General features: G+C 42.1%; 1 protein-coding gene and 1 long non-coding RNA gene across 12 annotated transcripts in view, besides 4 other annotated features; one reads left to right on the forward strand and one right to left on the reverse strand.

Moving 5' to 3' along the window:
- The window catches only part of SAMD12 (sterile alpha motif domain containing 12), a 490139-nt gene extending 483546 nt beyond the window's left edge, over positions 1 to 6593 (reverse strand). For all 11 annotated transcript variants that reach the window (NR_146234.2, XR_007060733.1, XR_007060732.1 and 8 more), the window contains exon 1: positions 6434 to 6593. Coding sequence is in view for 8 of the 11 variants with exons in the window: in NM_001349811.2 (NP_001336740.1) it covers positions 6434 to 6446 (13 nt within the window). In the remaining 3 variants the exon portion in view is untranslated. The remainder of the gene's footprint in view (positions 1 to 6433) is intronic.
- Positions 5586 to 5635: an enhancer, noted in NCBI's record as "active region_27838". NCBI's record gives its function as "activates an Ori minimal core promoter by ATAC-STARR-seq in GM12878 lymphoblastoid cells {active_cell/tissue: GM12878}" and the evidence as "EXISTENCE:reporter gene assay evidence [ECO:0000049][PMID:35858748]".
- The window catches only part of SAMD12-AS1 (SAMD12 antisense RNA 1), a 105067-nt gene continuing 89544 nt past the window's right edge, over positions 5631 to 21153 (forward strand). Inside the window, exons 1-2 of the long non-coding RNA NR_038210.1 lie at positions 5631 to 5816; positions 6165 to 6285. This is a non-coding gene — a long non-coding RNA (SAMD12 antisense RNA 1). The remainder of the gene's footprint in view (positions 5817 to 6164; positions 6286 to 21153) is intronic.
- Positions 5666 to 5875: an enhancer, noted in NCBI's record as "active region_27839". NCBI's record gives its function as "activates an Ori minimal core promoter by ATAC-STARR-seq in GM12878 lymphoblastoid cells {active_cell/tissue: GM12878}" and the evidence as "EXISTENCE:reporter gene assay evidence [ECO:0000049][PMID:35858748]".
- Positions 6486 to 6685: an enhancer, noted in NCBI's record as "active region_27840". NCBI's record gives its function as "activates an Ori minimal core promoter by ATAC-STARR-seq in GM12878 lymphoblastoid cells {active_cell/tissue: GM12878}" and the evidence as "EXISTENCE:reporter gene assay evidence [ECO:0000049][PMID:35858748]".
- Positions 6786 to 6935: a silencer, noted in NCBI's record as "silent region_19481". NCBI's record gives its function as "represses an Ori minimal core promoter by ATAC-STARR-seq in GM12878 lymphoblastoid cells {active_cell/tissue: GM12878}" and the evidence as "EXISTENCE:reporter gene assay evidence [ECO:0000049][PMID:35858748]".

Here is a 21153-nt window from a genome sequence, read left to right on the forward strand (position 1 = left end):
TCTTGTCTCCTTCCCCCAGTGGAGGCTGCAGGGGAGGGCCGGGACTGGCAGGGGTCAGAGTGGGCTAAGCTCCCTTTCTTACTACACTCCCCACCACATCTCGTAGAGTTCCTTGTACATGGGTGCTACTCTACTGCTTATCAACAGAAAGGCACCATCTGCTTGAATGCCTGTGAATGAGCATTTGCAATATCCCCTTTCTCATAATTAAATGCACAACAGCTGACACTCACTCGCCAGAGTTCAAGCATGGGCTTCAGATCCCCAGCTCCCCCTACCCTTGTAATATGTCACCACGTCATCCACTGTGACTCAGCATTACAGAACACAGCTACACCAGCAAAGGTTTCCCAGTTTCTGCTTCTCAGCACCAGCGCTTGTTTCTTCATTCAGGCGTGAGAAAACAGCAAGGCAGATGAGAAAGAAAGGGTGGGATAAAAGGAATTAGGAAGGGCTGGGCTAGGAAATACAACAGTACAATTAGACTGAAACCCTGTCCGAACTAGCTAAGAGGGCTACAAAAGAGATGGGGGTGGCAGGAACTGCTGCCACAGCAAGTTTCAAACTAGGTTGGAGGCCCCATTCTTGTTCACACAGTCACTGGAAGGAATTTTCAATGACGAACTTCTAGCCGTCATTCTCCTTCCTAAAACAAAGTGATCAATAGAAACTCTGGTGCAGGAAAGTCAGATCTGGTGGTATAGAGAACATAATAAAAATAAGAAAAAAAGATCCTCAGGAATAAGTGAATGGGAGAGAATCAGGGAGTAATTAGTTTAACAATCACACAATGAAGCTGCTGCAGGGATAAGTACCTATGAGGGAAACTTGTCCATCGTCTCACTGCTTTCATGACATCTGCTCTGTAGAGGAACACAGTTGGAAGTTCTCATTAAATGTGTATGGGAGTTACTGTGGGAATCAAAAGCAGTCATAAACCCACCCATTCCTTCATTTGTCTCCATTCATTCATTCAAGCTTCAAGGATGAGACATGAGACATAGTCCTTGCCGTAGAAAGTACCACCAGTAGAAGAGGTACATTCATAATGATGTTCCCAACAAGAAAAGGTAGTTAGGAAAGCATAGGTGAGCTAGCACCAAGAGAATCACACAGAGGCAGGACAGAGCTTCTTGTGTTCTATGAAGGGAAATCCATCAGAATTACACTTCTGGTCTCCCTCTTTACCCTCTGGGTCCTCCTCAGGAGAGGAGAAATCAACTCTCTGATGAGCAAGTCTGTGAAAAGGCACAAAGCATAGGTTCCCCACCTCTTCCTTTGGGTCCCACCTGCCTGCTGCAGGAGCCCATGTTCTCTCTGCTCTCCAGCTGCCAGTGGTATAGAGCAGGGGTCCCCAACCCCTGGGTTGTGAACTGGTATCAGTCCGTGGCCTATTAGGAACCACACCGCACAGCAGGATGTGAGCAGTGAGCAAGCAAGCATTACCACCCAAGCTCTACCTCCTGTCAGATCAACAGAGGCATTAGATTCTCAGAGGAGTGCAAACCCTACTGTGAACTGCACATGTGAGAGATCTAGGTTGCACATGCCTTATGAGAATCTAATGCCTGATGATCTGAGGTGGAACAGTTTCATCCCAAAACCATCCCCCATGGAAAAACTGTCTTCCATGAATCTGATCCCTGGTGCCAAAAAGGTTAAGGACCACTAGCATAGAGGGAGGCATCCCTATGACGGGTAAGTTCACTGCTGCATACAATATTAGCAAGCCCACTTACCCTCCAACCCAAAGTCAGAAAAAAATAACCCACTATAAGCTTGTGATAAAAATGATGTTTTTATCTCCCATGTGACTCCTTTTACTCTCTGTGATGCAGTTCTGAGTTCAAGTTGGGTACAAAGTCATCATTTATGGGGCTGCAAAGCCCAGTGTTTACCGTGACTGCTTCTATTTGTCACAAACGTTTGACGCTATCTCATTTCCCATTTTCCCAGTCACCGTTATTATTACTTAGCCTTACAATATTTTGGTGATGTGTAGTTTCTTCACTCTTCTACAGGAGAAAAAACATAGAACCTGAGCACTGAATGACTTATCAGAAGATATTTGGTAAGCTACCATGTTCATTTATGATGGAAAATTCAGATCCCTTAATATAGATGTCATTAAGAGCACACAGTCTTGCATTTGACATGTTTTTCTTGGGGAGAGAGGTGAGTGCTGAATATTGGAAATCATTTTTCTGCCACATGAGAGGTGCTATTCTGTTAGACCTGGAATAGAAATTACCATGTACAATGTCCATCCTCCCTATTTTTTTCATAAATATCTGAGGACAAAGCAAGAAAAGGAATTGGGGATGAGGGGTAAAAAAAAAATCCTTCTCTAGCTCTGGAGACTCGTGCATTTATATGTCATTCATGAAACAATGACTGTGGGCCTCCTAAGTGCCAGGCGCCATCCCTGGAATACAGAGATGAATACAAAGATGAATACGACACTGTCCCCAATGAATCCACATTTTTCTTCTCCCTGAATAATATTGCAACCCATTTCTGTTAGAAAACATCAATAGGTTTAACCGTCTATACACAGTCTGTCCATAGAGAATGGATTAGTTTGGGGTCCCTGCTACCTCCTTCCAAGAGGTCCTAGTCCCCAGTCCTGCTAAATTATTTCACAAGACATTGTTTTTGTTTTTTTTTTTTTTAAAAAAAGGCAATGTATGCCAGTATAATCCTAATCCAAATGCAGACCATAAGGTCGTACCCTGTTCTGTGGCGGGAAAGCATACCTGTAAGCTGCCCATAAATGCAAAGCATGGGTCACAAGCAGACTAGGAGACATAAATAGGATGTTGCAAATAAACTAAGAAGAAAACATAACACAGGGTAGTTACAAAACAATAAACAAAGGGCACCTCTTTTTCATCTTAAACACACGGCTGCAGGTTCAGCAAAGTGAATGAGTGAACTACTTGCTAGTAACACTTTTACAAATTCAAGTTTACTTAAGAAAAAGTTACACATAGTAAAAAACCTTCTAATTTGTTACTAATTAGAAAAACTGGCTGGCATGAATAAGTGAAAATTCAGGATATAAAACACATGCCAAATAGTATAGCTTTTCCTAAGAGAAGGGATGAGAGTACAAGTGATATTTACTTAGGATGCAGGTTCCAGACACCCTTCTAGAAGCCCTCTCCTTTATTTAATCCTCACAATGAGCAGGGCACGGTGGCTCACTCCTGTAATCCCAGCACTTTGGGAGGCCGAGGCGGGCGGATCACGAGGTTAGGAGATGGAGACCATCCTGGCTAACATGGTGAAACTCTGTCTCTACTAAAAGTACAAAAAAATCAGCCGGGCGTGGTAGCAGGCACCTGTAGCCCAGCTACTCGGGAGGCTGAGGCAGGAAAATGGCGTGAACCCGGGAGGCGGAGCTTGCAGTGAGCCGAGATCGCGCCACTGCATTCCAGCCTGGGCGACAGAGCAAGACTCCGTCTCAAAAAAAAAAAAAAAAATCCTCACAATGTTCCCAGGAGGAAAGCAGTAGTGAGCCCATTTTTTCCAGATGTGGAGACTAAAGCTTAGAATGTTAAGCAATTCGAACTGTATTTTCTATTCCAGTTCCTCTGGCAAAACTCCTTATTCTCTGAAGCAGCATTTCTCAATAAGTTGGGTAAACTGATCATTACTTGGCCATGGCTTGGCCTCGTTATACGGGATGGCCATGCGCTGCAGGACATTTATTATCTGTGGCCATGGGCACAAAATACCAACAGCAGCCCCCAGCAGCAGTTCCTACATATCCCAAATGTGTCCAGGGACAATGTCACCCAGCAGTAGAGGTAAACTGTTCTAAAAGATTTTTTGGGCATCAAGACAAAAGACTGAAGAGAAGGGCACTTCGAGGTGGGCAGATCACGAGGTCAGGAGATCGAGACCATCCTGGCTAACATGGTGAAACTCCGTCTCTACTAAAAATACCAAAAAAATTAGCCAGGCATGGTGGCGGGTGCCTATAGTCCCAGCTACTTGGGAGGCTGAGGCAGGAGAATGGCGTGAACCTGGGAGGCGGAGCTTGCAGTGAGCTGAGACCGCGCCACTGTACTCTAGCCTGGGCGACAGAGCAAGACTCTGTCTCAAAAAAAAAAAAAAAAAAATCTCCCATCCTCAAATCTGTCAGAAATCCCTTATTGTATCACATTTAGGCTTCCAAGAAAGCCCCATGTACCCTTATAGAACCAGTTACAAAACCTCCATGAATATATTTGCCATGCAATTCATGAGCATTGAGTACCTATTATGGGCAAAGTACTGTGCTATGAGCTAGGAATATAAAGTCCAAGTCTAACCCCCAAGGGGGTTAGAGTCTAGTAAGAGGCAGATTAAGTATGATAAGTATTAAGATAAATGTGAGCAGGAGGCACTTCCCATAGACTGGAAAGAGTGCTGAGAAGGCAGAAGAAAAAGGAGGGCTGGGACAGTTTCCCAGAGGAAGTGACATTTTCCCAAAGGCTTGAAAGACCAAGTAGGAGTAACCAGGAAGGGACTGGTCCAGGCTGATATCTTTGCAAAGACCAAAGATAGGAATCATATTTGAAGTTAAAGTTTAAAATACTTCCTTCATTCTTTGAGACCTCATTGTGATTCAAACTCAGGATCTCCTGTTTACTAGACAGGTACTTTAACCAAGTCACTAGAAAATAAACTCTCCATAGTCCACATGTACTTCCTTCCTAAGTTCTTGTTTTTGTAAAGTCTGGCTTCACTGGTGTAATCACCCATCACGCAAGAAATAAGACAAATTTATACTTCTTACAGGGAACAAGAAATTGTTTTCGAGAACAGTGTGGACTAGCAACAAAGAGGAGTGTCCCTGTCTTGGGGACACAGGAGTGGTGAAGACGAGAGATCATAATCAGTGTCACCTGATGGGTGACATAGAACGGACACTTAAGGAGTAGGTCAACATATCCTTGGTCTCAAGCTCAAGATGAACTTTATCTCGGCTTTTGTTTTGTTCTTTGGCATCTGAAGTCTTGACTATCAAGCATAACGATGCAAAAAAAAAAAAAAAAAAAAAAAAAAGATTCTCACCCTACTGGTACATTTGCACAGAAAAGAAAACCTAGAAAAATCTTGATTGTAAGAGAGAGAGAGGATTTCATTTTTGTTAATAAAGTTAGGAAAGCTGGAAGTGGCTGGCTGTGGATCTCTGAACCTGAGATAGCCCAAAGGCAAGAGTTTCCCGAGTTTATGGGTGCTGAGTATAGGAGCTGGGTTGTTGCTACTTCAGGTTGTTAAGACAGTCGTTATAAGGGGAGCAAGAGTCAGATTAGTTCAATTTCTTTCTCCTGGGGCAGGGAGGAGAGGGAGCAGCAAGCCAGCCTCGTGGCCTTCTCGTCTCTAGCCTACAAGGAATAGGCTGATTTCCCCTTGGCAAGGCGCCTGAAGCAGCTGGCAGGCAAGCCCTCCTCTTCCTACTTCAGTACGCCCTCTGACCTGACTGCACTCAGAAACCAAAATTCTGCAGGTGAATGTAGGCTCCCATTTCGTCCCACAATCATTTCATCATTCAGGCACAGCTTGACCTCTAATGTGACATCACAAACCCTTCCGGTCCACAGTTTTTTTTTCTTCTTCAGAAACTACCTAAACAAGGAAGTTTGTGTTCCAAGGTAAGATAACCTGAAATGAAAAACTCAGGATCCCTCACGAACAGCCTGACCCTGCTTTCAACCAGGAAGTTCAAGGGAGGCAGGACTTTACGGTCAAAACTGCAAAGCCGAAGCTCAAGACTGTAAGAAGAAAGTGATCTTCAAAGAAAAGGATTCACCCAAATCGAAGAGGTTGTTGCACTTCTTTTCCCTGGCTGATTACATTTCATGTCTGTAAACTTTGCTAAGCCCGGGGCGCTGGCTGTATAAGCAGAGACAGGTGTAGGGACACCTCTACCCTCTGGGTACATCTGCGGCCGCCGCTGCTGGGTGCATAGGACGAAGGGCCCTCGACCCAATCCCAGTCCAAGCTTCCGGATGACGCACCTGGGCTGGGGACCTCTCCCACGTGAGGGGGGCCAACCAAGCATCCCCAGCCCCGGGGCCACCCAGCCTGCTCCGGAGGGAGGGGGCAGGGAAAAAGGGCATCTCGGGGCCAAAACCTCATGCCGGATCCTCCGGCTTTCCCCCCATTTCCAGGATATCGTTTCGCATCAGGGACACTCGTCTCCACACCTCCTACCTCAAAGTCCTACGCACCTACCCTTCACGTCTCTCCAAAGCAACTGAATTAAAGCGCCTACTGGCCTTGGCGGCGCAGGTGAGTGCCAAGAGGTGGAGGAGGAAGGGGCCCGCTCTCCGCCACCCCCTTTCCTCGCCTCCCCACGATCGCCAAGCTTCATCGGGGATGTGTGCCTTGGGGTGCGCGGGTTAAGAGGGAGCTTAAAAATGCCCCAAGCGTCCCTTACCTTCCACAGCCATTCTCTCAGAGCTTCCCTAACGCATGCATAATTTTCTTGGCCGAGGTACTCCTCCTGCCCCGCGCTCCCCCCTTCCTCTCGCTTTCGCCTAAATATTCTGCGCTTATCTGCTCCAGGACCAACCTGCCGCGGTCACGCAAAGCGAGGCAGCCGGCTCCCGGCTCGGCGCGCGCAGGGCGTCCTGGGAAGTGTAGTTCCCTCCCTTCGCTCGGACTGGGGAGAGCACCCCGACTCCTCCGCGGAGTGCCGCCTGGCCCCGACACTTGGAGAGCAACTCCAGCTTCAGCTGGCCAGGCCGAGCAATCTCTCCTGGGGAAGTTGTGAGGGGACCAGGGATGCCTGGTTGTGGCGGGGCGGGGGGGGAGGGGGGGGGGGTTCCCGGGAAGCGGTCTGGACTACATCTCCCAGGAGGCCGTGCGCTGAGATAGGTTCGCTGCTAAGAGTAGGGACCCGTGATTGAGCCCTTCCCTGTCCATTACAAGGGGTTTGGCACCTAGCAGGTGTGGTGAGGTGGGCAGGTGACGGTCAGCTGTGTGATGAGCTCCTGCGAGCTCGTCCGTGGGCCTCTGCCGCCGGTACCGCCCCGCCCCCTGGCCTCCTGAACCACCATTTAGTAGGGAGAGCAGGACCACTGTCCTCCTGTGTGGTTCTCCACCTGGGCCAGAGAACGCTGCCCAGGGTGAGGTTGAAACTTGTTCCTTCGCACCCTGAGATGTATGGGTTTTGTGGGGGAATTCCGACGGTTGATACAGTTGTCTTATCCTACAGGGTGGTTCAGGTGGCTAAATACTTGGCATGGGGGTGTAGGGGAGGAGGAGTGGCTTAAACCCCAATAGGCAACGTCCCCAAGGGGTTGTTAGGAACAAAGTCTGGGAGCCAGGATTGCACCGGAGGAGGTCAGATGAAAGCCTGTCTGGCTTCCAGGATAGGAGGCTTTCAATTTGCCTAGACTTGGAGCCTGTTGACAGCCTGTGATAGGGCCTAATAATTAACAGTGCCTGAGAATCAGGTTCCTTCAACTTCTGAACCTATGTCCTAGCTGTAGGTGCTGGGGATGCTATAAGCAGACATGATAATGGGAATCACGTGGATAGCAATACAATTCGACAGCTCGTAAAAATTAAGTTTCTAAACATTTTTTCCTGCGTGTGAAAATACGGATACAGTTGTGGCTGGAAGGGGTAAGGGAATAGCCTCGGGAATAAATCTGGCTCAAGACTGGATTGACTTTTAAAGGCCTTCAGTTTACAAATGTATTTGGTACCACATCCACCCAGTCACTCATATATAATGTTAATCTCTGTAAAATGAGGAAGTACAAAAATCGGATTCTTCCCATGATGACTACTTAGACATTTTTGTGTGTCTTGGTCATCAGCAAAAAAAAAAAAATGTTTTTCAAAACAATTTCGTTTCTCAGTGTATACATGCACACCTGTTGTTCTGGTCACTAATTACATGCTTAGTTCCCCTACTGGGTAATATATAATAATAATATGTGTATAGGTACTTTAAAAAATACCTGCGTGTAACCATTAAATGCTCTTGTTGATACTTTAATTCTGAGTCCATGGAGCTGTGTACAAGTCAAACCTAAGCCTCTCTTTTAGGTACAGTAGAGAGAGACCCATTCAGTGAGACATAATTTCCATGGGAAAAAGAATTTTCCGACCTAATACACAGCCAAGCATTCTAAACTCTGGAAAGAACTGAAATCCAGGTGCTTCACTACTTTATGTATATAAAATCACCAAAGTGTTAAGTATTTTCTGAGATTGAATGAATGTGAAAGAAAGCCATAGGACAGGTAGTATCAATGGTTCTCAACCTTGGCTGTGCATCAGCCTTCTACAAATATATATTCCTAAGCTTTTATCTTAGTCTCACAGAATCAGAGCTTATGGGGGTTTGGGTAGAGGCACTCAGGTTTTAAAAACCCACAGGTGATTCCAGTCTTCATTGAGGGTGAAAACCATTGGTCTGGTTCCAAGCTTTTAAATATCTGGGTGATATAAAAATATAAAAGTCATTGAAATCTGTGGTTAATTTTAAAACTTCATCTTAGCTCATCTTTAATATTTTTCCCAGTGATGTGCATTCTAGACGAGTTTTATTTTTAGTATAAATAAAATGTGAAGGAGATGTTAGTTTCTACCATATGAAATAGCCAATGTTTGACCATTTTTAAAACCTACAAATAGAACAATTTCATGTGGTTCTGCCTAATAAGGGATAAACAATAGTTGCGCAGAGGTTTTCAATTCTGGCTGAACATTAGAATCACCTGGGAAGTACTAAAAAAAAATTACATTTATCTCTAGAATGTTTGAAAGATAAAGACACAAAATACCAACCGTTGGCAAGATTGTGAAGCAATAAAGATTTATATATTGCTGGTGGTGTGCAAATTCACAAAACCACTTTGGAAAACCATCTGAAATATTCAGCTGAATATATGCTTATCCTGTGACCCAGAAGTTCTACTCCTAGGTTTACACCAAACAAATATGCATACAGATGTTCTCCAAAAGACATGTGCAAGAATGTTTGTGGCTGCATTATTTTAATGTTCCCAAATGGAAAACAACTCAAATATTTATCAACACAGATTGGAGAGATGAACTGTGGTATAACCAAATAATTCCATATAGCAGGGGTCAACAAACTAAGACCAATGAGCCAAATATGGCTCACCATTTATTTCTTATAACTCACCAGCTAGGTGTGATTTTTACATTTTTAAATGGTTGGAAAAAAAACAAAAAAAGTATAATTTGCAAAGCCTGGAAATTATAAAGACATACTTACATAATATCCTCAATTTTGCCTCTTGTCCTACAAAGCCTCAAATATTTCCTACCTGATCCTTTGCAGAAAAAAAGCTTTCCAAACCCTCCTATAAAGTAATGCAAATGAAGGAATTACAATTGTATACAACAACATGATGAGCCACATGTATTAATCGATTGCTGTTAACAAATTATCCCAATATTTAGTGGTTTACAACAATACCCATGTATTACTTCAGTTTCTGTGGCTCAGTAATTTGGGCACAGCTTAGCTTCTGCTTTAGTATCTTTCACAGACTGCAATCATGACTTATTTTTGGTCTTTTTTATCAGCAGCCAAGTACAGTTCCTAACAGATATACCCAATTTTAGCAAGGGGCAAAGTCCAGACCTCATCCCATACCTCTCATAAGCCAAATTCTGTGTTCATTATGATGCTATTGTTTGTTCCTTATAGTATATAAGCACTTCGAGTGCTGGAACTGAGTCTTATGCTTCATATCTTCCAGATTCTTGGTCATAATTGTGGTTACATAGTAAGTACTCAATAGATAATTTATTACTACTATTTTTTTATCCTTGTTATAAGTAGCATTTGTTGGGAAATTACAAGTGCCAAGCTCTGTCTAAGCATCTTGACATACATCATCTCCTTTAATCACTACAATATTGTCAGATATCACTATTTTCCAGATGAGGAAATTGAAGCTCAGTGAATTTAAGTAATTTGCCCCATGTCTCCAAAACATGAATTGTAGCAAGGGGATTGAGGTCTACCTAAGTGTAGAACTCTGTGATGTTACTCCATCTAGATTTCAATACTGATTACGTGATCACAAATCTGAATTCATAAGCACTTGGCCAAATAGGAATTGTCATTACTAATAAAATGAAGGGTTTAAAATATTTTAATATCAGAAATTGTGATATTTAGAATGATTCAAAAATTTCTGAATATATCAGAGAGCACAGAAAGGGAAGGAAAAGCCCATTACCTTATAGTGAATTAAATAAAAAAAGAAATATTGAGATGAGGCTACAGATTTCACTGGATTCTAAGATTTAAAATAGTACATATAAGTACTTTACTGTATTTATTGTTCTAACTCGGTTGCTATATTCACAAGCCTCTACAGAAAACATTCATAAATCTCAAAAAGTAAATAGATTATGTTTCTATTCTGTTCAGGGAGATCTTCTAAACCTAACCAAAAGGATTCAAACCCTAAAAAGTAAAATTTTTGACAGGAGGAACTGAGAGGAAAAAAATAATTTTTTTGTAATTAAGATAAAAAATACTAACTCTAATCCTTGAGTCATGAATAAAGTGCCAACCATTCAAGTTATATCAGGCTTCCATTGGAGGAAGTAAGCATATTTCAGGGAACATGATTTAAGCAAAAGCCTAGTTGTTTTTGCTTAAATCACATTGTGCATAATTAAATCGCATTGTGTGTTATCTGTTTGTTGATAAGTTGGTGATATTCTATACCATCGTTCGTCTAAACTATACTTTCAAAATCAGACTTAAATTATGTCTTCAAAATTTGAGCAGAATCTGTCTACCTTTATATTAACTGGTTATCTGAATATTTGGCTTCAGTACTCAAGTTTCGTAGACATACAGAACTAGATTGTAATCCTGACTCTCATTTACTCGATGTTGGTTATTAGCAAAGTTCTTTGACATTTCTGTGCCTTGGTTTTCCCACATGTATTGTAATGCTATTAATTGTGTAATGTATACATTACCTAGCTCACAGTTTGGGGCTCAGCAGTGACTGAGAGAGTATCTATAGTGTTGTGCGCTGTCCTGGCACATAATGGATGCCCAATAAGTGTTTGCTCTTTTGATCATCCATGGAAGCCTGAGAGGCCATTCCCAAAGAACATGGATATAATTCAGTTAAGCAGTAGCAAGGGCCTCAGGATATTTGCCAAGTGTGGAGTAAGTCTGCCCAGTCCGACTTGTAGTTAAGCCACTGAATGAACTTAACTTGATCAATGCAGAGCCTCCTCTGACAGGCAAGAAAACAGGGCTGTGCCATGGAAGAGCAGTGTCCTGGACACTTGTCCCTTTTTGGATAGGTTTTGTTGATAGAAAAGAGTGTGGGATTATTGTAGGCTCTAGTGGCTGACTGCATACAAACTTTCTGTGTTCTGGATTTCCAACCCTGAAGTATTAGGTTGGTGTAAAAATAATTGCAGTTTTTGCCATTTTTTTTTTTAATGGTAAAAACTGCCATTACTTTTGCACCAACCTAATAAATTTGCAGCACCTCTTCTGAGCAGAGTTGCCCCTACTTCCCCAACCAGGGGAAATTGTAAACTGTGTGTAAAAGCATAGGAATGGTCATCTGGAATTACTTGTCATTGGTACACATCAGCACAAGAGAACACTAGAAGAGATGCAACTTATTTTCACAACTGAACTATTCTATGCCAGATGTTTAAAAACTTAAGGTGTGATGGGCTCCCTTTTACTACTACTTCCAAAATGACCAGAAATCTTTACTAGGCAGAGATGCTAAAGCTGACCGCTTACTGTAGTTATTTGACCAGTCCTTTCCCTTCCCTTCTGTTCCTCTGTTAATAATTACCTAATAAACTTTATATTTTTAATCATTATATAGGGTACAGTGAGCCTTCACATACATTATTGCATTTTATCTTTACAATGGCTGTCAGTGGATAGTATTTACTTCATTTTATAGGTATGAAACAGAGGCTGGGCAAGGATGGATGATTAGCCCAAATTTATACACCCAGACAGAGCCTGAATTCAACACTTGAGACTTCTGCATTCAGTACTTTTTTCATTCCATCTCAATGTACTTTCTCATCAGGTGTAAAAGTGCCACTTACCCTATTGGCTTCCAAAAATATATTGAAATGCACTCTGACAGGAAGAATCTCATTTGATATCGGGAATTTCAACAAAATCCCACCTTATTTGGGCAAAAGAACTCTCTAAGAGTGAAACTTTTCTTGAATGAGCTTAAAGTACAGTGATCTTAATGGAAGATTTTAGCTAGAAGATATTCATCTTCAGTACTCTTCAAGTCTAAGCTACGGTTTTCTCTCACTAAGACCACTACTAATTTCAGTAGTTTACTAATTAGTCTATCTGCATACAATTCTTCCCCAGTGTGGCTTCTCTCCACCAGCAAACAGAATGGTATGACCCAAATCTAATCATCTCACTCCAATTTGAAGTCATTTGATTGCATCCCTTTACTCTTTGGTTAAAGCCTACAAGCCCTAGCAAAGTTTTTCTTAGGCTCCCATTCTGGGTTAGTTTTCTCCACAACACTCATATCAGTTTGTAGGAATATATTTATTATTTTCATTTAAATAGTGTCAGTATCCCCACTAATTCCATCGGATTAAGAATGGACTCTGATTTTGCTCCCCTTTGATCTTCCAACCACTAGCACTGTATCTGGCCCAACAATACATACTTAATACATGTATTATGTATCTGTAAGTACTGTCTGACTGAAGGAGCACATGAGTAAACTACCTAATCATAAATGTGTTTATTTTTCCCAATTAAACTGCAGGTTAGTATTTTGTTTGTGTTTGTGTTAATGTTTTATACTCTTAGAAGTAGGCTTTTTTTTTCTAACCTAGAATCTGTTCAGAAAGGACTTAGAGGCAAGTTACTCTAAGTCCTATCATTTCACAGTTGAGGCAGAAAACCAAAAAAGTTTGCCAGGATCACATCATAGCAGAACAATGTCTAGAACCCAGGTTCAGGCCAAGGTTCTTCATTGGTGGTTTGATTTTTGTTTTTGTTTTTAGAGGATGTGGTGGGGAGAGATTTCTGTTCCACTGGGCTCAGTTTGGCTTGGTGGCTGAGCTTTCAGTCAAGGAGGCTGGGGCAGCTCTGCTCCTCGCTGCAGGTTTTTGAGTAAGCTGGGGAACTCTGCCTCAGGCTAAAGGGGCAGCAGCTAACGGCAGAGGAGCAAGAGAGAAAAAGGAAATATGCAAGGCTTTTAAGCCCTGTCTCAGAACTGCAGCACTTTCACTTCTCTTACATCATGTGTTGAATCAAGTCATAGGGCCAATCCAAAAGTCAAGGTGTATTAGTTCATTCTCATGCTGCTAATAAAGACATACCTGAGACTGGGAAATTTATAAAGGAAAGAGGCTGGACCAAAAACATAAAGAACCTTTTCTTTTTAGGAGGCCATATGCTTTCTTGTTCTCCCTGTGGGAGAATAAAAACCCCACATGTTGTGGTGTTGCACAAAGAAAGAATGGAGTTGGGCTTTTGTGGTTAGAGATGAGAAAAGTCCATCAGTTGTCAGAAAGTAAGAGTCTGAGGAATTCATGCAGTCAGAGAAAGACAAAAGGCTCTGCAGGTGCTGATGACAGATGACTGTCCTCATAAACCTGAAGTCATGATCTAGGGCTCAATCCTAATGTCTGAAAACTCAAAGAAGTAGAAGAAAAATGGGACCTAGGAGATAATTTAGATCGCAGCTGGGAGAGAAAGGACACAGCACACCTAAGATGTGCCTTGTGAGATAAGGCAAGTATTAGCATGGTGCAGCCCTGGGTTTCACCTTTGACTGGCCTTTTCTAGCCTGTGATAACTTTTAGTGAAAAATGTGGCATTCAAAAGGTATCTCTGCAAGGTCTAGTTTTATTCAGGGATCCTAAAAGCTGGAAATATGAACCTTGTGGGGCTGGGGAAAATTATTGGCTAATTTTTGCCCCACACTTTTAAATGCTAATAGAGTAGTATCTGTTAGGTATCTTCGGTGATGTGGTGGTGTATTTGTTAAGGTCATCTCTGCCTTCCTTGTAGAACCCTTCTATGGATGCTTAGAGGTTCCTTATTCTCTTCCTCTGGGCTTGTCTCAAAAAAACAACAACAATAGGCCAGGCATGGTGGCTCACACCTGTAATCCCAGCACTTTGGGAGGCCAAGGTGGGCAGATCATGAGGTCAGGAGATCGAGACCATCTTGACCAACATGGTGAAACCCCATCTCTACTAAAATACAAAAAAATAGCCAGGCATGGTGGCACATGCCTGTAGTCCCAGCTACTTGGGAAGCTGAGGCAGGGTAATTGCTTGAACCAGGAGGCAGAGGTTGCAGTGAGCCGAGATCACACTACTCCCCTCCAGCCTGGGTGACAGAGTAAGACTCTGTCTCAAAAAATAAATAAATAAATAAATAAATAAATAAATAAATAAATAAATAAAATAAAAGACAATAACAGACACACAAAAAGCCTCCCCGAAGCTGTGGTTTCTTATAGATGCTGCCTTACATGTGCTGGATATATTAATTGATTCCACACAGTGATACAGTAGAAATACCCTGGACCCTGGAAACATAGATCAGAGTTCAAAATCTGCCTCTTTACAAACCAGCAGGGTGAACTAAAGCAAAAGGATTAACATCTCTGGCCTTGGTTTTCTCATCTATAAAATGGACAATATCCCTCACCAGGTCTTTTTGAGGGCAAGTTATTTATCTATCCAACAAATTATCCCCAAATTTAGTGACTGTGATAGTTCATTTGTGATGTCAACTTGACTGGATGAAGAGATACACAGATAGCTGCTAAAGCATTATTTATTACCAGGGCTTCAGTAGGCACTGAGCCTGTCCATCATCTGCTGAAAGGGAAACCCAGGTGGTTTGGGATTTGATTCCAATAATTGGGTTGCCCCAGGTGTGTCTGTAAGGGTGTTTCCAAAAGGGATTGGCATGTGAGCCTGTGGGCTGAGTGGGAAAGATCTGGTCTTAATGTAGGTGGACACCAATCAATCAGTGCAGTGTCTGGATAGAACAAAAAGGTATAGGAAGGGCTAATTCACTGTCTTCTAGAGCTTCCCTTAGAGCTGCCCTCTCTTCTCCTCCTGCCCTTGAACATTAGAACTCCATGTTCTCCAGCTGTTGGGCTCCAGGACTTATACCAGTGGACCCATGGGCTCTCCAGCCTTTGGCTTTGGACTGAGAATTACACCATCAGCTTCCCTGGCTCTGAGGACTTCAGACTGGGACTAAGCTGCACTACCAGATTTCCTGGTTCTTGGGCTCACAGATGTCCTATCGTGACTTCTCAGCCTCCGTAATCGAGTAAACCAATTCTTCTAATAAATTTCTTTTCCTCTCTCTCTGCATATATATATATATATATATATATATATATATATATATATATGTATATCTTTTAGTTATTTTAAATGTACAATACATTATTGTTGACTATAGTCACCTCTGTGTGTGTATATATATATACACACACACATACACACACACACATATATATATATACACACACACAGAGGTGACTATAGTCAACAATAATGTACTGTACATTTTAAAATAACTAAAAGATATACATATATATCCTATATATTTATATATATATCTATAGGATATATATATATTTTTTTGAACCAGGCAATATATATATATAACCAGGTATGTGTGTATATATATATATACATATATATATATCCTATCACTTCTGTCTCTCTGGAGAACTCTGAATGAAACAGCGGCTTAAAATAAACATTTATCATCTCACACAATTTCTGTGGCTCAAGGGATATGAGAGCAGCTTAGCTGTGTGGTTCCAGCTCAGTGTCTTTCATAAGGTCACAGTAAAGATGTCACCCAGGGCTGAACTCATCTGAAGGCTTGACTGGGGCTGGAGGATCTGCTCCAAGGTGGCTGTCTCACCCACTTGGAAATTTAGTGCTGCTTGTTGGCAGGAAGGCTTGGTGCCCCCACAACATGGACTTCTTCATGGATTGGCTGAATTGTCCTCATAGAGGGACAGTTGGCTTTCCCCAGAGAGGGTGACCCAAAGGGGGCAAGAAGGAAGCCACAGTACATTTTATGACCTGGTCTTGGAAATCATACGTTGTCACCTCCAGCTATTCTACTTGCTACAAGAAAGCCACCAACTCTAGCCCTCAAAGGAATGGGAATTAAGTTCCACTTTTTAAAAGAAAATTTTTGTGGGTACGTAGTAGGTGTTTATGTTCATGGAATACATGTGATATTTTAATACAGACATACAATGCATAATAATCATAGGAAGATAACTACACATTTGTTTGAGCTCCTTATATATTCTGGCTATCAATCTCTTGTCATATGGATAGTATGCAAATATTTTCTCCCATTCTGTGGGTTGTCTCTTCACATTCTTGATTGTTTCCTTTGCTGTGTAGAAGCTTTTTAACTTGATGTAATCTCATTTGTCCATTTTGTTTTGGTTGCTGAGGCTTCACTTTTTGAAGAGGGTGTATAAGAATTTGTGGAAGTATTTTGAATCAGCACAAGAGGCCACATATGTAAAATTATTGTCATAAAATAAGTGTGGAGTAAATGAAATTGATTATTACTTGGAAGCTTAAATAGTATCCTGTTCTACTGTACCTCTCTAGTACTAGCAGTGCTTGGTATATAACAGACCTTCTTGCTCTTGTCCCCCAGGCTGGAGTGCAATGGCACGATCTTGGCTCACTGCAACCTCTGCCTCTCAGGTTCAAGCAATTCTCCTGCCTCAGCCTCCCAAGTAGCTGGGATTACAGGCGCCTGCCACCATGCCTGGCTATTTTTTTTATTTTTAGTAGAGACGGGGTTTTACCATGTTGGCCAGGCTGGTCTTGAACTCCTGACCTCAGATGATCCACCCACCTGCCTCCCAAAGTGCTGGAATTACAGGCATGAGCCACTGCGCCTGGCCAACAGCCCTTCTTAAATAATAGCTAAATGTATTGCTTGTTCTTGTGTTAGGCATTGGGCTAAGCAAGTTAGATGAAATAGCTCATTTCACCTTCACAATAGCCCTGGGAAATGGGTCCCAGTCAATTGGTATCCCAATTTTACAGAGGAGGAAGCTGAAATATGCACAGATAAGTTAAATAATTTTTTAGATATTAACATGGAGGGCTTGATGGAGCCAGGAATTGCTCTCAAGCAATCAACCATAGGATGCAGCTTTTAACCACCTTACTCTGGGTGTTTACACCAATCAAGGCCTCCAAAATTATTCATCTGAAATACTCCTGCCTCTGAAACTTACTTGTCCAGGAATACTTTGTGGGTGGGAGAAATAATGCCTGAATGGTTAAGCCTATATCTTGAAGCGCTTCTTTCAGATTTAGACTGCCTTAATCATTCCCAACCAAAATCTAACAATGTGAAGGACAGGAATTTCTCCTTCATTCTTTCTTTTTTCCATCATTTGATAAAACACACCCACAACCCTTCTCCTTTCTTCTGTTCTATACTTCAGGCTTCTCCATGAAACTTTGTTGTTTTTCCTGTGGCTACATAAAAGTTTGAAAACTGCCAAATTAGATCATCTCTAGAAGTCATTTCCTGCTTTACCATCTTATGAGCACGAGTCCTCCCTGTTCCCCATCAGTACAGAAGTTAGTGACCAAATCCAGTCAATTCTTTCCTCAACAATTGCTCTCTTGGGTCTCCCTTTCTTGTCCCTTCCCTCATTCTACATCTGATAAGAACCGAAATCGACACATTGTAGCATTCCCTTAACCAGGCCAGTACTCTCACTTCCAAATTATCTTGTGTCCAGTGGCCACATAAATCCTCAAGAATATCCTTTCGTTATGCTGCTCCATTGTTCAAACAAAACCCTTCAATTGTCTGTGTCGCATTTCTCATATGGGGGCCCCACAGATATGAGTACATATCAATAGACAGGTTTTAGAGAATACAGTCTAAAAAAAGTTAAGTTTTTTCCTTTACTAATAGAATTTCATGGTGACTTTGATATGCTAATGTGCAATGTGAGTCTTCCTGAAGGAGAGATAATATAACCAAGAGGTTTTCTCTCTTGGGCTTGTTGTGGGCAAGCACAGGTTTCAGGTCAGAAAATTCCCTTGGGTTGCGATTTTAGAAGCTGTTTCTTATCACTGATGTCTCTTCCCTGGCACTTCTCACTTGGTGATGAGGCCCCTACTCACTGTATTGTACCTTAACAAGTGAAAGTCCAGAAAGTCATTGCTCAATAGGCTGTTGCTCTCTCTCGCTCTTTGACTCTCTAACCCTCAGCCTCCCAGAACCACCACTTCAGAAAATCAACGTTATGTTTGTGTGTGTATACATATACGTAGCTTTCTTTACTGAAGGACTGGGTGATTTTATTTATTCATTTTTTCTTCCTATTTATTTGTTTTTATTTGTATAAAATCATAGGATAAAAGTGCAATTTTGCTAAATTGATATATTGCATTGTGGTGAACTCAGGGACGTCAGTGCACCCATCACTGGAGCCATGAACATTGCACCCACCAAGCAACCGTCAATCATCTACCCCCGTCCCATCCCCTTCCCTTCCAAGTCCCCATTGTCCATCATTCCACACTCTGCTTCTGTGTGTACATATTATTTAGCTTCTACTTAAGAGTGAGAACATGCAGTATCTGTCTTTCTGTGTCTGAGTTGTTTCACTTAAGATAATGGCTTCCAGTTGCATCTATGTTGCTGTAAACCTGAAGGACTGGTTAATTTTAAAAGGGTGTTGCTTCACAGGATAAAAAATGTTAAAAACCATGTAGTAAAAATATAACTTCCCCAGGTCCAAAAATGTGTTTGCCTGTGTGTATGTGCATTGACTGAGAAGTCAACCCTTCACTACATGGGTGCTCTTTGAACACATCCACAGTTTTGGACCTGACTGTACTGCCATTTACTGGTTTTGCCCCTCTATCCCAGAGAGCCTTATCTTCTAGACACTCCCAGTAAAACTCTGTTCATATCCTGGAAAACTCCAATGCCTACCCACTGAGTCATTCCGGAGCCCACTGTGATTTCCCACATTAAGACAGTTTCCTAAATTCAGATCACTAGAGTAGCATCCTGTGGTTTTTATTTAAATAATCAGTGATTTCTTTTGATAACCTGAGAGCTGCAGAATGGTACAGGATGAAGGTTCTTGGTTCTGCAGGTTCTGCAGCAGCATCCAGGTATGCATGTATCACCCAAGGTAGACTTTTCTTTTCTTTTCTTTTCTTTTCTTTTCTTTTCTTTTCTTTTTTCTTTTTTCTTCTTTCTTTCTTTCTTTATTTCTCTTTCTTTCTTTTTTCTTTCTTTCCTTCTTTCTTTGTTTTATTTTTGAGACAGAGTCTCATTCTGTCACCCAGGCTGGTGTGCAGTGACACAATTATGGCTCACTTCAACCTCTGCCTCCTGGGCTCAAATGATTCTCATGCCTCAGCCTCCCAAGTAGCTGGGATTACAGGTGTGCGCTACTGCACCCAGCTAATTTTTTGTATTTTTAGTAGAGACAGGGTTTCACCACGTTGGCTAGGCTGGTCACAACCCCAAGCTAGATTTCTTTGGAGATTTTCTTGAAGATGTATCCCCCACCAAAAAAAAAAAAAACCAACCCCAACTATTAGATTGGTTAAAACAGCACATGACTTGCTCTAAAATGATTTTAATTCTCAGGGAGGGCACAGTCTCTCTAAACCCTAATAAAAAGCAAAGTATTTTCTAACTACTTGGTAATTTACAACATAACTTTTTCTTCCTTTGAAGGCAGTAGATTTCATTATTATGCAGAGTAATATTACATTCCTTCAATGCTTTTGGCATGTATCACTTTGGGCCTGATGGTAAAAGAGTCATATGCCTCATAAAGATTGCTTCCTTAGTCATGTAAAGAACATTTGAAGGACTATTCAGACAAGTAAGCAGTAGGCAGTATGCTGGGCACTAGAAATGAAAACATGAATACTACAAGTTTCCCCCGCTGAGAGCTGACCTTGAAAGGCATTTATCCGCTCATTTGTTCTATGTCACATATATTCTGAGCACCTACTATATGCCAAAGACTATATTGAGCAGTGGGGAATGCCTTAGACTGGGTTCCCTGACATTCGACTCTGAGACTGAGAATAGTAAATTGTATGTGGAGGTTTATTAGGGAATATTCTTCAGCGGTGCACCCGAAAGAAAGTGAGGATGAGAGAACTGGACAGGGAGAGAACTGATGATTAATGCAGTTACAACTGAGACCTTGTCCAGTCCTAATAGGAGATCTAGAGCTGAAATAACTCTTTAGAGTTGTCCCAAAGAGGGAAGCATGCCAGGCCTTTGTATGCCCATGCCATCCAGTCATTGGTGGCACATCCTCCTTGAGAAGGACTGTAGTCCTGGACAAGGCAGGTTTTTGAAGCCCAGGCAATGCTGAGTGAGGGATATGGTTTGAACCATCAGCAATTGATATTCCTAGTAGCTGGGAGATTAGGAGAAATCTGTGTGAGAACACAACATCCACTATTGGGCTATAATAGGGCAAGGATCCATGCATGCCTTAGGAAGCCGAGAGTCCAGCTGAGGAGCTACAGCAACAAATGGGCAAAAGCAAGTGCAGATAGATAAGTGCAAGAGTGTGGGAAGTGCTGTGAAGACACACAGCAAAGGCATCTAGCCCAGTCGTAGGGGTCCTGAGAAGGATTCCCAGACGAGGCAATGGCAATAATGAGACTGCAAAGGGGAAGTGAGCATATGAAAGGAGTGGTTGTGCAAAATGCTAAAGGGAAAGAGTCTTCCTGGTAAAGGGAACAGCATGTGCAATAGGGCAAGCAATGTGAGAACATGGCATTGGAGCTTCTTACAGAGTGAGGAATGGCTGGAGTGGAAAGTGCAATAGAGGAAGTGGTGCAAGGGGAGGCAAGGGAGCTGAGCCAGACCCTGAACCTGAAGGATGGACATGAAGAAGCAGGCATGACAGTGGGGGATTTTATCTGGATTGTCCTGAAAGTCACGGTTTCCAGCTGAAAGTTACATGATAAATTCTGCACTTTGGGAATATCCTTTTTAGCTGCGGTGTGGAGAAAGGATTGGAGGTAAAAGAGTAACACAGGGGGACTCCTAAGAGTGACCATGTCGGTGGCTGGTTCATTAGT

The sequence above is a fragment of the Homo sapiens genome, chromosome 8 (assembly GCF_000001405.40).
Source record: "Homo sapiens chromosome 8, GRCh38.p14 Primary Assembly".
Lineage (NCBI taxonomy): Eukaryota > Metazoa > Chordata > Mammalia > Primates > Hominidae > Homo > Homo sapiens.